The sequence below is a fragment of the Homo sapiens genome, chromosome 5 (genome assembly GCF_000001405.40).
Source record: "Homo sapiens chromosome 5, GRCh38.p14 Primary Assembly".
NCBI lineage: Eukaryota > Metazoa > Chordata > Mammalia > Primates > Hominidae > Homo > Homo sapiens.
In genome coordinates, this window is record NC_000005.10 from 140,982,601 (window position 1) to 140,997,873 (window position 15,273).

General features: G+C 41.1%; 15 protein-coding genes, 1 gene segment (V, D, J or C) and 1 further gene; all 17 read left to right on the plus strand.

The window, feature by feature from the left end:
• PCDHA@ (protocadherin alpha cluster, complex locus) overlaps window positions 1-15,273 on the plus strand; it is a 226,209-nt gene that overhangs the window by 196,465 nt on the left and 14,471 nt on the right.
• The window catches only part of PCDHA1 (protocadherin alpha 1), a 226,208-nt gene that overhangs the window by 196,461 nt on the left and 14,474 nt on the right, over window positions 1-15,273 (plus strand). The gene's annotated exons all lie outside the window — the stretch shown is intronic.
• The window catches only part of PCDHA2 (protocadherin alpha 2), a 217,496-nt gene that overhangs the window by 187,749 nt on the left and 14,474 nt on the right, over window positions 1-15,273 (plus strand). The window lies entirely within an intron of this gene.
• The window catches only part of PCDHA3 (protocadherin alpha 3), a 211,291-nt gene that overhangs the window by 181,544 nt on the left and 14,474 nt on the right, over window positions 1-15,273 (plus strand). The gene's annotated exons all lie outside the window — the stretch shown is intronic.
• PCDHA4 (protocadherin alpha 4) overlaps window positions 1-15,273 on the plus strand; it is a 205,280-nt gene that overhangs the window by 175,533 nt on the left and 14,474 nt on the right. The gene's annotated exons all lie outside the window — the stretch shown is intronic.
• The window catches only part of PCDHA5 (protocadherin alpha 5), a 190,735-nt gene that overhangs the window by 160,988 nt on the left and 14,474 nt on the right, over window positions 1-15,273 (plus strand). The window lies entirely within an intron of this gene.
• Window positions 1-15,273, plus strand: part of PCDHA6 (protocadherin alpha 6) — a 184,388-nt gene that overhangs the window by 154,641 nt on the left and 14,474 nt on the right. The gene's annotated exons all lie outside the window — the stretch shown is intronic.
• The window catches only part of PCDHA7 (protocadherin alpha 7), a 178,079-nt gene that overhangs the window by 148,332 nt on the left and 14,474 nt on the right, over window positions 1-15,273 (plus strand). The gene's annotated exons all lie outside the window — the stretch shown is intronic.
• The window catches only part of PCDHA8 (protocadherin alpha 8), a 171,161-nt gene that overhangs the window by 141,414 nt on the left and 14,474 nt on the right, over window positions 1-15,273 (plus strand). The gene's annotated exons all lie outside the window — the stretch shown is intronic.
• The window catches only part of PCDHA9 (protocadherin alpha 9), a 163,966-nt gene that overhangs the window by 134,219 nt on the left and 14,474 nt on the right, over window positions 1-15,273 (plus strand). The window lies entirely within an intron of this gene.
• Window positions 1-15,273, plus strand: part of PCDHA10 (protocadherin alpha 10) — a 156,451-nt gene that overhangs the window by 126,704 nt on the left and 14,474 nt on the right. The window lies entirely within an intron of this gene.
• PCDHA11 (protocadherin alpha 11) overlaps window positions 1-15,273 on the plus strand; it is a 143,391-nt gene that overhangs the window by 113,644 nt on the left and 14,474 nt on the right. The window lies entirely within an intron of this gene.
• Window positions 1-15,273, plus strand: part of PCDHA12 (protocadherin alpha 12) — a 137,040-nt gene that overhangs the window by 107,293 nt on the left and 14,474 nt on the right. The gene's annotated exons all lie outside the window — the stretch shown is intronic.
• The window catches only part of PCDHA13 (protocadherin alpha 13), a 130,224-nt gene that overhangs the window by 100,477 nt on the left and 14,474 nt on the right, over window positions 1-15,273 (plus strand). The gene's annotated exons all lie outside the window — the stretch shown is intronic.
• The window catches only part of PCDHAC1 (protocadherin alpha subfamily C, 1), an 86,049-nt gene that overhangs the window by 56,302 nt on the left and 14,474 nt on the right, over window positions 1-15,273 (plus strand). The gene's annotated exons all lie outside the window — the stretch shown is intronic.
• The window catches only part of PCDHAC2 (protocadherin alpha subfamily C, 2), a 45,872-nt gene that overhangs the window by 16,125 nt on the left and 14,474 nt on the right, over window positions 1-15,273 (plus strand). The gene's annotated exons all lie outside the window — the stretch shown is intronic.
• The window catches only part of PCDHACT (protocadherin alpha constant), a 33,396-nt gene that overhangs the window by 3,652 nt on the left and 14,471 nt on the right, over window positions 1-15,273 (plus strand).

Consider the following 15,273-nt stretch of genomic DNA (forward strand, 5'->3'; position numbering starts at 1 on the left):
TGGAAAGTGATCAGATGACCTACTTTTGTAAGATCAGGAATGTTGATGGCTCTTTTTCTTTTATATTTTTGTTATTCCCTTTTTTCCATACATACATGATTTCCTTACATATATGATTATTTTGATTTTATACCTAATGCTCTTCAGGAGTTGAAAAAGGATAACAAGGAAAGTGTGTGTGCACGCATGTGTGCATGTGTGTGTGTGTGTATGAAGTTTTTGGGGTTTGTTTGTTTGTTTAAATCAGGTACCTTTCAAATGCTTAGGTCATCCAAGCCATGCAGAGAAGATCTGGTGGCCTTATGCACAGAGATGACACTGTTAACAAAGATCTTTTGGTTGAAGACTATGGAAACCCACCCAAAGTAGTAAGGAAAGAAAGAGAAAAAGAAGGAAAGAAAGAAAAAGGAAGGAAGGAAGGAAGATGGTTTCTCATGGAAGTGGAAAATTATCGGAACCAAGGCATTGTTTTGAGTTCAAGTCAAAGTCAATCTGCTTCTCTCTGCACATCAACAACATTCTGCAGACTGACTTTTAGTGCCTTGGCATGCATGTTGCCAAACATGACCGCCTCACAATTTCTTAGTTTAGAGGGATAATAGGGACTATTTCCTAATCCAAACTTTCAGGAAAGAGAACCTGCTAAGTTGTGTAAAAAACCTAATGGCTGGGTGAGTATAGGAAAATTGCTTAAACTCACATTTGCTTGGTATCCTTATTCTTGCCCTATCACTAAAGCAGGGTCATGTAATAGAAATATGGCTTTGGAGGCCCATCGCTGTGGCAGTTTTCAGAAAGGGAAGATTAAGTGTTGGTAGAGACCACAAATTGTGTCTACTCTAATCCTCTATTAATAGAACATCATGATGATAATAGTAGTTACTAATTATTAAGCCATAATATGCCTAGACACTGTGCCAAGTACATTGTATGTGTGGTCTCATTTATTCCTTAAGTCAAGCTTGCAAGGGATTTATTACATCTATTCTACATATGAGAAACTGGAGAGGCAGAGAGATTAAGAAATGTACCCAAGTTCACGTAGCTTGTAAGTGGCAGAGGGTAGGATTCAAACCCAGATGTGTTTAGTTTCAAATCCAAGTATATCTAGCACTTATATTCATAACATGGCTGGCTTGCAATAATCCATTCAAATTCAAATACATATCTACATACATAACAGATGACAGAATGTGTGTGTAAAAGGTTTTTTCCCAAAAATAATCAGATGCCTTTCAAATTATTAAGTAACATGCAGCTAAGGGCCCATTTTTACTGGCAACTTTAAGGGCATTCGTTGATTCTAATCAGCCAGGATTTGCTATTTATGGATGTTGCACAATTCAACTAAAAGTCACATTTGTCCAAAAAATATACGAGTTGAAGCAATTCATTAGAGAGCTAATATTGCCAGATTGCAAGGGGAAAAACATAAAATAGTTCATTGACAAATCTGTACCCTCAGTGCCAACGATGGAGTGAAGAAATGATGGAGGAGGAAGTGGTTTTAGACTGCCAAGTGTTGCAGGATGTGGAGGCATCTGGGAAGGTGAGAACTTCCCAAAGAAGCCACGTGAAATCATGACTTTCTACCTTGCCTTTATTTCAGAGTTTTTCTTGCTCTTATGGAGGCATTGTAGGTCGACCTGGTAAGCCACAAACTAACTTTGAATACATTCTCCCTCCCATTGGTGATGCTGGTTGGTGTGTATTCCTAGGCAAATGTGGAATAGGAACCATGTATTGATATTTCATACATCTGGCCAAGTCCCTCTTTCAGATTCAAAAAATGTTGAGAACCTATCTTTTTTACAGAGATAGAGAAGGGGATCTCCCTTGTTCCCTTTCTTACTGTCCCAGCCCCTCTTGTATAACCCATTTTATCCAGAACTGTGCCTGGCTGCTGATGCATGAGTCACAGTCTTCATGGACTGTGCTGGATAGAGCTTACATCTTCCAACTACTCCATGGCAACCTAATCATACTTTTCAATACATACCTCTGCATCAGTGGTGTAAAGTTAAAGGGATTCTCTGCCTTCTCCCTGTCCTTCTGGTACTTTTAGGTTTTTAGGACTCAATATATGTTCTGCACTGCTTGGAGGGAATATGGCATAAAGATTAAGATTATGATTTAGAGTCAGATTTGAGTTGAATTCTAATCCCAAGCTTACTTGCTGGGTGAGCATAGACAAACTGCCTGAATTCATATTTTCTTAATTACCCTTTCTGTAAATTGGGTGTAGTAATAATAATAACACCTATTTTATTGAGTTACCATGAGAACTAAAGGAGAAAAAAAGAACTGAGCATAGTGCTTGACATATAGTTAATAAATGTCTAATCTTTTTTTTTTGAGACAGAGTCTCGCTCTGTCCCCCAGGCTGGAGTCCAGTGGCACGATATCGGCTCACAGCAACCTCTGCCTCCTGGGTTCAAGTGATTCTCCTGCCTCAGCCTCCTGAGTAGCTGAGACTACAGGCGTGTGCCACCAAGCCTGGCTAATTTTTTGTGTTTTTAGTAAAGACGGGGTTTCACCGTGTTAGCCAGGATTGTCTCAATCTCCTGACCTCGTAATCCGCCTGCCTCGGTCTCCCAAAGTGTTGGGATTACAGGCGTGAGCCACCGCGCCTGGCCTAATCTTCTTACTCTTTTTTCTTTCTGGACTACTTTTCTGCAATCTATGATATAGTGTTGGCTGATAGCCTGGTGGCCAGAATTCAGTAGTTCTCATTTGCAGGCCCAGATATAGACCCTCTGAGGTTATCTGGGTCTATATAATCCAGTCACCCCAACTGTTCCCCTGGAAATGGAGTGAGGAGGATTTATTAGTTGCTGCCTGAAGAAAAGGGAAATGCTCCAAAAAATTTGGTTGTTTCCAGACTCAAATAGAGCCTGCCTTTCATTGATTCTGTTGCCCTTAAAGCTTCACGGTGAAGATGCAGTTGCTTCCAAAAGGCTTCTTTCTGGTGCCTAAGCCTCCTTATACTTGCTTCAGAGCCCTTTCCGTGAACCAGCTGTGTATTGCTCTTCTCATCCCAACACTTGCAATGGCTGAATAAAGGAAGTGGGGCCTGCCTTACGCTAATCCTCGTTCATATGTGTTTCTTAAAGTTATTTTTCCTTCACTGATGAATTCCTTTTTTTTTTTTTTTTTTTTGAGACAGTCTCGCTCTGTCGCCCAGGCTGGAGTGCAGTGGCACGATCTCAGCTCACAACAAGCTCTGCCTCCCGGGTTCATGCCACTCTCCTGCCTCAGCCTCCTGAGTAGCTGGGACTACAGGCGCCCGCCACCACTCCCGTCTAATTTTTTGTATTTTTAGTAGAGCCGGGGTTTCACTGTGTTAGCCAGGATGGTCTCAATCTCCTGACCTCGTGATCCGCCCACCTCAGCCTCCCAAAGTGCTGGGATTACAGGCGTGAGCCACTGCGCCTGGCCTCACTGATGAATTCTTTTGCTTTTTAAAGAAACTGTTCATTTATTTTCACAGTCTGCAAAAGCCTAAGATAAAGATGCCACACTCTGAAAGGATCAACAAGGGCATCACCAAGTAATGTTTTCTGCAGGATAAACAAGTCAGGCATTAAATTGGTTAATCCTGATTACTGGCCCCTTTCTCTAGCCTCCCCTCTGTGTGAGCAGACCCGGACCACAGGCTTTCTTATTTCCTTTCAGCTTCCCTTGAGACTGAGCAGAGAGAGAAAATTAGCTAAATCAGGAATGCAGGGAATACAGTTGCAGCCTCTTCTTCAGATGGAGGAATGCGTTTTGGGGGGAGGGACATTAAAGGGCCAGTCGCTCATGTTACAGCTCTTTTTAACTTCATGAGTACTAATGCCCTGAAGAGGTTTTAATGAATGCCCTCTTGTGATCAGTTCCTAGGGCAATCCCAGGTTATAAAAGGACTGCCCCTGCCTGTGAGGGAACTGGCCTGGCTTCAGTGGGCCAGGCTGCTTTGTTATCTGTTATTGGTTTTTCCAGCTCCTCTTTCTACATTTCAAGGGATCTCAGGCCTTACCTAAGGCAACAGTACATTAGTTTTAGAGTGGGAGATGCTCACAGTTTTCAGAAGAGTTCAGAAAGTTTCAAAACACACAGCACTGCAGAAGATAACATTATAGCTTCTCAAGACCCCAGGGGATCTGGGACTAAACAGTGAAAGATTAATTAGGTAGCGGAAGCCACTAAGGCAGTGAGTCTTAGTTAGAGAACTTTGGTTTAGACAATGGTTCTCAAAGGGGCAGCAACACCAACAATACCCGGAAACTTGTTAGAAATGCAAATTCTTAGGCCCTATCCTAGACTAATGAATCAGAAATTCTCAGGATGGAGGCTGGGTGTGGTCGCTCATGCCTGTAATTCCAGCACTTTGGGAGGCCAAGGCAGGCAGATCACTTGAGGTCATGAGTTCGAGACCAGCCTGGTCAACATGGCGAAACCCCATCTCTACTAAAGTTACAAAAATGAGCTGGGCGTGGTGGCAGGTGCCTGTAATCCCAGCTACTCGGGAGGCTGAGGCAGGAGAATTGCTTGAACTCGGGAGGTGGAGGTTGCAGTGAGCTGAGATTGCACCACTGCACTCCAGCCTGGGTGACAGAGTGAGACTCCATCTCAAAAAAAAAAAAAATAATAAATAAAGAAAGAAAGACATTCTCAGGAATGGGACCCGGCAGTCTATGTTTTAACAAGCCTTCTATGTGATACCAATGTACTGTGAAGTTTTAAGAACTGGTCTAAGGTAAATATTCCTGAGGTTGTCTTATATCATTACAGGGTCAGAATGCATGCAAGGAAGCCATCTGTTTATGGTTCTTGTGAGAAGCAGGGGGCCTTTCCCCATGCCCGAGAGATAATTGTTAAGAGCTCAAGCTTGGGAGTCAGTGACCCTTTCTGAATTCTACCTCTGCCACTCAGTAATTGTATGTTCCTGGGACCATTACTTAACTTTCCTGATTCTCAGTTTCTTTCTCTATAAAATGGGGAGAATAGTGGTGTCTACCTTATAGGGTTCTTGGAAGAATTAGATGAGATAATGCACACATATTGCAGAATCTGAAGAACAATCAGGGTTTAGTAAATAGTAGCTATTTTTAAATGATTTTTCCAGGTATGAGTCTATCCTACAGCTTCAAAATTTAGACCCAGGTTGTTCTGAGTATTCTCTGTGGGAAGAATCTGCTATAGAGAAGATTTTTTTAAAGTGCCTGTCTCTTTGTTTCCTTAGGGGATTGCTTTTGCCCTGATTTGCCACATCTCTTTACTCTGTGGAAAATGGACAGTTTATGTGCCCTAGTTTTATATGGGGATTTATATTCTTAATTGTCTCAAGGATTCTTACCTGTCTGACAAAACCAACTCCCCATGGAAAGACTCCATGGAGACTCCATCTCTGATCCTTCCCCAGAAAGAAAGCATGATTCTTAAGTTTTTTAGAATCTGTTTAGGAGCACTGTCAACATGAATTTTTCTATTTCATGAGTGAGTGCAGCCTCGGGCCTTGTTGGAGAATTTAGAAAGCATGCTGTTCCACTAACCTGTTCAACCTCAACTTCTGCCGTTGTCATAGCAATGACAGTCCTGGGAGGTGTGTGCATATCCTTATTAGGAAAAAAAAATGAGATCAGGGATCTATGTGAGTGGGGCAGCTCCCGCCTGTGAGTATCCTTCGCTGTCACCTGCCATCTGACAGCCCAGGAGTGCCAGCTTGGCTTGGCTTTCTCTACCCGAGGAAAGTAAGTCCTTTTAAGATGCACTTTTACTTTCTGGGGTTGTGAAACTCATTGTGTTTGCCAGAGTTCTCTTCGCAGCTTATGTAAAGAATTTGTTTGTTTTGGATTGACCTGAAGGGAGGAAGCAAGGGTGTGGGAAGGGGAATTAGCATCCCCTACCTAGGAGAAGCCATGAAGCTTACTTAAGTCTCTGCTGGCTCCATCCATTCATGACTTTCTTCATCTTCTTCTTGGGAAAACACTCTGTACCTTCCACTTTTAATGGTCATGTAAATAAAAGACTAGAATGGAGATGTCCTGGTTTTCTGAAATTAAACATTTTTGTTTATGAATAGACTCTAAGATAATTCTTTCCCTAGACGCTCTGTATTTTCTTGGACCTCTCATTTGCCCCATAGTAATTATTCTAGGATTGGTGGCCTGGGCAGAATACAGTCATGGTTAAGACCATGATACATAATAGAAGAATTTCTTCCGTAACAGTAGCCCCAAACAGAGATCACGTGTCTCCTGAAACCTATCCAGTCTCATGTGCACTCAGATGTACGATCCTGGATATAACATTTTAGAGGGTGTAGTGAGGAGAATAGAACAACACTGTTCTCTTAGGCTGCAGTTTCCTTCAAGCCCCACGATGGAGAGAAGCAGGCTAATGCAGGGTAAGGAAATAGAGACTTATTATAGTTTCTTCAGTTATCATTGATTCCTTTAATATGCCAGCTACATTGAGGCAATACAGTCTGGCCTCTGAAAACCTTGTCAGGAGAAACAACTTTTGAATATATCTTAGAAAAATAAGACACTTTATCCCTTCTTTTGTTTAAGAGTGTTGCATAAAACAGGAGAGTTTCTGAATTACCCTCCCTTCTAGCTTTCTTTATACACCATTCTTTGTAGCTGAAGTTTTAAGCCCCTTGTCAAAAGGGAGATTCAAGTTTCTGCTGGGGACATCTCAGTGTCACAAAGGGCCAAGGAAGTAGGGTCTCACCAACTTTGCCACCTGACTCAGCTCAAAGGTGATAGGTCACCTGTGTGACTGAGAGCTTTGTGGGAAAGATGATATGGAGGGTGGAGAGTCTGCACTTCACTCTGTGGGAAAAATTGCTGAGGTTGTTTAGAATTGTTAGGCTTGGAACTCCTCCTGGGAGGTGCTTGAACAAGAAAGACCTGCTTATAACCTGAGTTGAGGGCAGAGGAGGAAGATAGTTTGTAATTCCTTTACGTTTTGTGGCTCCGGCAAGCCCTGTCCTCAGCCTCACTGACACAAGTAAACTAAAAATGAAAGTCTGTCCTAGTGACAGCAAGGGTCTTTCATGGCAATATTTTAAAAGAAACTCTGCCCAGATTTCAAAGGAACGTGAAAATTTTATCTTCAGAGGCAGTCAGCTTTGCAGTTGAAAAGGCCATTGCCTAATCTGGAGAAACATATTCAGTTCAAGCACTGGCTAGAGACTAGAGGCCCCCAGGAAAGGGCCATAAGATTGGTCACTGCCAGGAAGCCTGTCAATGAGTGTGTGGACTGGAGAGGAATCTTTCTCTGCCTCAGCACTTGGAGTCTCCGTTATTCACAATCAGAAAAAGAGGGAGAGCAGAGATAGATGACATTCCACGTTTTTCTCGGTGAGACCAAGAGCTTCCTCAGCAACAGCCCTGCCTGAAATTGTCTATCTCCAAGGGCGTGGGCTAGGCAAAGGATGGGAGAAGTCAGTCCTGAAGATGGTAATACTTAAAGGAAATAAGGGGGACAAAGGATGCTTGTGCTACTATTGAAACAGGAAATTGAGAGCTCTGTAGAAGTCAGACTCAAGAGGCATAATAATAGAAAGTTAGGGTATGAAAAGGTGACTTTTAAGAACCAAATGTGGACCCGAAAGAGAACAAAGAGAAGTTTATTGTAACTAGCGTTGTATTCCTTGTCTGCTGGATACCAAACAATGTACCCCGGGTCTTGAGATTATCGATGCCATTGTCTGTAAAAAACCAACCAAACAAACTTTAAAAATAAGTAAAGCCTGCCCTGTACAGAAAATCTAATAAAGCAAATTTGTTGGTGATGTTCCAAGAAGGTTCACCAGCTTGGGCTTTCAACCAGCATTGACCCAATCTTGTGTCCAGAGCTGTTGCTGTAGGTGGTATCATGTATCAAGCTGAATAGTGAGGTGACATTCCCCAAGTCTTCTCTCTTGTCTTTTTTGACTGTGCATCATAGATACTGTATTACCCAAGAACACACACCTGTTCGATCTCTTTTCCTATAATCACCTGGAGTCAGATGAATACCGTAAAGGTCTGTGGTAAGACTAGAAGCCTCAGCCAGTATGAATGATTTACATTAGATGCACACCAAGCTGCTTTCGGAGAGTCCAGATTTATGGGGATAAGAGCATCACTAGGTATATCAACAGCCCTAGGGTGGATACCTTTGAGCCTGTAAATTTGGCTCTGTGTTGGACGATGAACCATGGAATACAGAAGAAGCTCCCTTCTCTCAGCTAAAGCCTATTAGCAAAAATAGAGCCCTGAGGACATTGTATTTTAAGTGTATGTTCCAGTGAGTGGGTCGTTGCTGGGTCAAGTTTTATAAGTCTTTAAATCCCATACTGTTGCCTCCTGGACTGTAGAAATAGTCTCTTAGAACAAGAGAAAGGAAGACAATAGCTACCATTTATTGAGAACTGTGATAAGCACTTTACATATGTTGCATACTTAACTTTGAGAGAAGTACATTATTATTCCCATGTTTCAGATAAAAAAATTAAAGCTCATAAGAATTAAGTGGCTTTCTTACATTCACACAGCTAGTAAAAATGTTTTTTGCTCACCATTGTATTCCCATTGTCAAGCAGGATGCCTAGCACACAATGATGCTCAATAAATTTTGTTAAATTCATTAATAAATGCAGTGGTAAAGGCAGTATTTGAACTCATGTCTGCTTGCTGCTGAACTCTATACACTTAACACATTACTATTATCTTGTCCCGCATGATACATGAAGGGAATAGCTTGGTAACTTGGAAAAGACTATTTACTGTCTGAGTTCTAGGCCAACTGTAGGGTGTCTGTATTTATTTCCCATTATGCTATAACAAATTAACCATAAACTTCATGGCTTAAAACAACACAATGTATTATCTTACAGTTCTGGAAGTCAGAAGTCCACAGTGAGTTTCACTGGCTAAAATCAAGGTGTGTTCTTGCCACTATATAACAAGGATCCACTTTCCTTTAGTTTCCAATAACAGGCTCCTTATTTCTACCTGAGCCCTCACTGGCAGCACCTTTAATGCCATATTTGTAATAACAATCTGTTCATGACAATTTAGGTTTGCTCCTCACTTTTTTCTGAGTCCTCTCTAGTAGAGCCATTAATATGCATATTGCTACTAGCAGCCTGTTCAAGGTAATGTAGGCTCTTTCTATCATGCTCTTCAAAATTCTTCTAGACTCTGCCCATTTCCCAATCTCAAGGCCACTTCCGCATTTTTAGGCATTTATAACGGCAGAACCGCACTTCCAGATACCAAAATCTGTATTAGTTTCCTAGGGCTGCCATAACAAATTAACACAAAATCCCTTTTGCCATGTAACATAACATATTCACAAGTTCTAAAATTAGAATGCAGTCATTTTGGTGGGGCCATTATTCTGCCTACCACCCGGTCTTTCATGTTCAGGCAGAGGTGGCTCTGTGTGTGTGTGTGTGTGTGTGTGTGTGTGTGTGTGTAAGTTAATTTCAGTAGAGAATGAGCTAGAGTAGAGAAAGAGAATTAAGGTGAGATGTGTCATGGAAGAACAGTGACTGATGATGCTAACTTTGCTCAATCAAGAAGTGTGATCCATTTAAATCATGCTTTCAGTGATCTATCCAATCAGATAAACTACTCTCCCTTCCTGGGAAGAGTAAGGAAGGAAGTAGAGCTAAAGATGAAAGTTCTTTTCGTAGCACATCCCTGCAAAGGATGGGAGTATTGTTTTGGTGGGCATTCCCTTTTCTAAGAGCAAAGATGGAAATGTGGAGAGAGGAGAAAAATGGTTCCCATTACATTATTGTGTTCTGGACTTAGAGATATTGTTCTGCCCCAGGTCTAAGAATATTGTTCCAAGAGTTGGGAGCAGGCAGCAGAGGACAGTACTCTTTAGATCACCCAGAGGCCAATCTGTAAGGATTCAATCCTGGGGCATGGTAGCTAATGGAAAAGTCACTGTCACAAGTGATGCCAGGAGATGGGGCAACACATATTGCCTGCCTTGTATGCATCTAGCGTCTGTGTCTAAGTGAAAGCAGATTATATCCAGAACTTCCCTGGAAAATAGAAGAAAGAGCCTGATTGGTGTGTATGTGTGTGTTAGGGGTTGAGGGGTGGGTAATGTTCCTGCCAGTATTCGTAAATCCCACCTGCTTTTCCTGTGATGCTTCCTGTGTTGGGGATAGGAGGGTGGGATGGTTCAGGGTCAATTTTATGGATCCATATGTATCTAAGGATGTGTTTGTTTTTTGGGAACATTTTGTATAACAACCAGTTTCACTCTAGCTCCCTCCTTGATATTCTAAACAAGCTGGATATCTCCAAAGCTTAGGCCCTCTCCATACTTACAGCAGCTCTGACTGGAGATTAAATCACCCCTTATACTGCTGACAATGATTAGGCCATGGGACCCATGAAAGAGCCTCCCCAGAGTCCAGCATCCCCTGTGGGCTCCGTGTGTCATCAAGATGTCAATCCAACTGCTGTTCCTGCAGTCTGCAATCAGCAGGGCTATGTTTATTCAGCGGTCAGTGTCACATCAATTTCCTTCTGTTGCAACAAGTATAAATGGATTCTAAATATTTGCCTTTGGGAAATTTCTTTAGAGGGAAACTCACTAAAGCTAATTTTTTTAGCTTTTTGGTATGTTCTCTCTGAATCTGGGGATTTAGATATATAAATTAGCTTCTTTGGTCTTTTCTTGCCCAGGGTCACAACCTTGCCTCCAGGATAATACCTTCTAAGTGTTTGTGATTTGAAGGGCACTACGAAGATCCTCACAAAAACTACCTCCCAGCCGGGTCCCTGAAACTCCATCATTAACCACCTTCATCAGCATTTCTCTTTTAAAATCCTTATTCATTCCTGTTCTCCTTCTTTCTTTCTCACACACACACACACACACACACACACACACACACACACACACACACGGGGAGAGAGAGACAGAGAGAGAGAGAGATAGAGAAGTGAAGTATATAGTATCCTTTCTAGGGATGCTTTTCTTGGCTTGGCTCCAATAGAGAATTTTGTTGGGACCCTCTATATATAGTCGTGTACCAAATAATGACACTTTGGTTAACAATGGACCACATATGTGACAGCTGTCCCATAAGATTGTAATACCATATTTTTACTGTACCTTTTCTATGTTTAGATACACAAATACTTGCCATTATATTACAATTGCGCAGTATTTTGTACAGTAACATGCTGTGCAGGTTTGTAGCCTAGGAGCAATAGGCTATACCATATAGCCTAGGTATGTAGTAGGCTATGCCATCTAGGTTTGTGTAAGTACGCTCTATGATGTCCATACAACAAAAATGCCTAGTGATGCATTTCTCAGAACATATCCCCATTGTTAAGTGATACATGACTGTAGTCATCATCAAACATTTATTAAGCACTTAGGTCAGGCCAGGCTCTGTTCTAGGTGATGCAGATATAATATTAAATATAACACAGTCCTGCCCTTATAAATCTAATGGTGAAGGGAGAAATGTAAAGAAATATGATGGAAATATTACATTGTCATGTGATAAGGGCGACAATAATGCCCTACGTAGGTAGGGTCAACGAAGGGGAAGGAAGCTGGGACAAACCACCAGGGCCTGTTGGTCCAGAATGGGACCCAGGGTCTGTCTATGTTATAATCAATTCAAACCCTAGGTAAATAAGGTAAGCTAGGCTGCCTTTCTTGAGACAGTCCCCAGATTGTTTTCACAGGGCCCAAACACTCTCAGCAACCATGAACAGTGGATGTTGTGGGACCTCAGAAGATGGAATTGGAAATTCAGGGGACTAAGTCAGAGATTATTTGACATTTAATACTGGATATTGAGGCCGGGCGCAGTGGCTCACACCTGTGATCCCAGCACTTTGGGAGGCTGAGGCGGGTGGATTGCCTGAACCCAGGAGTTTGAGAACAGCCTGGGCAACATGGCAAAACCCCATCTCTACAAAAAAAATATAAAAATTAGCCGGGTGTGGTGGCATGCACTTGTAGTCTCAGCTACTTGGGAGGCTGAGGCACGAGAGTCACTTGAACCTGGAAGGTGGAGGTTGCAGTGAGCTGAGATCACACTACTGCACTCCAGCCTGGGTGACAGAATGAGACCCTGTCTCAAAAAAAAATTTAAAATACTGGGTATTGCAGGATGGCAAGTAGGATGTGGAGAGGAAGAGAATTCCAGGCAAAGGAAACAATGCGTGCATGCAAAAACAAAATACAAAAAACTGAATTGTGTAGTCTGGGTTAATAAGATGAGTGCATTTGATGGATGTGGTAGAATAAAGAGATGTTAGGAAATGAGATCAGAAATGTAGACTGGAATCAGATTTTGTAGGACCTTAAACATCCTGCTAAATAATTTGTAGTTTCATTTGTTGGCCATGGAGACCCACTAGAAGGTTAGTTGGTTTGTTTATATTTAGGAAAGAAGATTCTTTTAAGTTTCCTTAACTCTACTGAATTTTCAAAAATCAACCTACAGCAATCCAAACTTATCTGTGGAGATACATTCCAAGACCCTCAGTGGATGCCTGAAACCTCATTTAGTACTGACCTTTATATACATTATGTTCTTTCATAGGTGCACCTATGATAAAGTTTAATTTATAAATTAGGCACAATACTCTTGTGCTTTGGGGCCAGTATTAAGTAAAATAAGGGTACTTGAATACAAGCCCTTTGATACCAAAACAGCCAGTCGGATACCAAGACACTTTCTAAGTGAACTAACAGGTGAGTAGTGTAGACGGCATGGATAGGTCGGACAGAGGGATGATTCACGTACTGGGCAGGATAAAGCGGGATGGCTCGAGATTTCATCACATTACTCAGAACAGCTTGCAATTTAAAACTTATGAATTGTTTATTTTTGAAATTTTTCATTTAATATTTTCAGACTAAGGTTGACTGTGGGTAACTGAAGCCTCAGAAATCAAACCTCAAATAAGGGGCGATCACTGTACTGAATAATATGTCAAGATGAGCTATGAGCTTTTAACTTAGTGTTTTTCTTCTCCCAAACCAAATATTGGAAACTTTGGAGTGTTTAGAAAAGGAGAATCGAAAAGGGAAGTAAATGCAGCATTTTTTTTAATTGTTAAATAAAGGGCTGGGCTTGGAAATGTTCTTAGGTAATCCTGGTGGATTTGGTATATCATGTCTGAGAAAATGTGGAGAGTGAAGGGCAGGTTTAAAATTTGTCTCATGTTAGTTTCTGAAGGGAGATAGCCTGGCATTGCACAGTGCCTCACATTTCTATCGTATCACTTAATAATTGTGCAACCTGTGCTTCAGATTTATCAATGTATAAAAGAGGAGAGACCATAGGCTGTTGTAAGTATTAAATGACATAATGCACGCAAAATGCTTAGAACCATGCTTAGTTCATGGTAGCCACTCAAAAATGTCGTCAGAACTATTACTACTCAGTTTAATGCTCCTAGCACTTAACACAGTGCTTGGCACACAGTAAAGAGGATTCAAGATGTTTTTGCTAGATTACATGGAATGGTATGGAAGTGTGCAGGGTGGTGTAGAGGGTTCTCCCATTATCTTGCCTTCCTTATACTGCAATGTGCTGACAGCACCTCCATTTTATACCCTCAATGCAAGGATATCACTACTTGTCTAGAAATGGTTGCTCAAGGCTGAGAAGTGACAGCAACACAGAGCCTGGGATTGCTGCCAAATTTCAAGAAGCACAGATTGTAACAAAGTAAGGGGGGAGGGTAGAGAAGAAAAGTTTGAAAACCCAACCAAAGTCAGAAGCCATTTTGTTGTCGGCTGAAATAATGCCTCATAGAGTTTCAGGTGGGGCAGGCAGTGTGAAAACTTTGGGAATAGTCAGTGTCAAGTTGTGGTGCTAAGGGAGGAACCCAGTAGTGCTCAGGCCTGGGCAAGTCTGGCTTCTTGGGGCCCAGCATTTAGAAAGGCCCTGTGTGTTTTGATATTATGCTGTCACTATCTTGAAGTTCTTGATAATTTGTTAACAAGGGCCGCCTCCCCCCATTTTCATTTGGCAAATTTCACTGGTTCCTGCAAATTATGTAGTTAATCCTGGGTGCAGGCTAGTTTTTGAACCATGTTGGGCTAGTATTCTTCTGAACCTCTATCTCTTTGATTTAATTACAGAAGAAACAAAAGTCATAACAAATTATATCTGTGCAGGACTAAAATAAAATGAGTAGTGCCTCACTCCCTACATCCAATCATGCTTTCCAAAAGTAACCACTACCAATAATTTAGCGTGCATCTTCAGAATTCTTTATATGCCTACATTTTAATGTATTTTTAAATAAAATAGAATTACATTGTTGAAGTAAATATTAAAAAATATAGCATTTTTGCATAGAAATATTTATTTCCCTCAATCCCACTCCCCTTTGGTGAAGCAACCACTGTTAACAATTTTGTGTGTATCCTCCAATATTTTTTTGAAATTAATGAACTTTACTTTTTAGAGCAGTTTTAGGTTCACAGGAAAGTTGAGTAGAAAGTGCAGAGTTCTCATGCACTCCTGCTCTCCCACATACACAATGCCCCCACACCCCCGCCACAGTGACATCCTGCCCAGAGTGGTACATTCATGACAATTGATGAAACTATATTGACATCATTATTGAAACTATCATTACCACCCAACTTCCATGTTTACTTTAGGGTTCACTCTTCCAAATATTTCTTGCATCACTTAACAATGGGGATACACTGAGAAATGTGTCTTTAGGCAGTTTTTTCGTTGTACAAATATCATAGAATGTACTTACATAAACCTAGATGATATAGCATACTACACACTTAGGCTCTATCGTATGGCCTATTTCTCCTAGGCTACAAACCTGTATATCATGTTACTATACTGAATACTGTAGGCAATTTTTACACAATGATAAGTATTTGTGTATCTCAACATACCTAAACGCAGAAAAAGTACAATAAAAATACATTATTATAATCTTACAGGACAACTGTCATATGTGTGGTCCGTTGTTGACTGAAACATGATTATGGGGCGCATGACTATATAGAGATTTTCAAAAAGCAAAATGGGATAATGCAATATGTATTATTATACAGCTTGTGTGTGTGTGTGTGTGTGTGTGTGTGTATGTTAACAAACACCTTTCTACGTCAGTACATATAGATTTGCCACAATCTTCTTGAGTAAGGATATAGCACTATGTTGTATACCTATATTATAATTTATCCAATTTGCTGTTGGTATCTATGTTTTCTAAACAATACAATATACATTCTTATACATATTTCTTATGCATGCTTGCT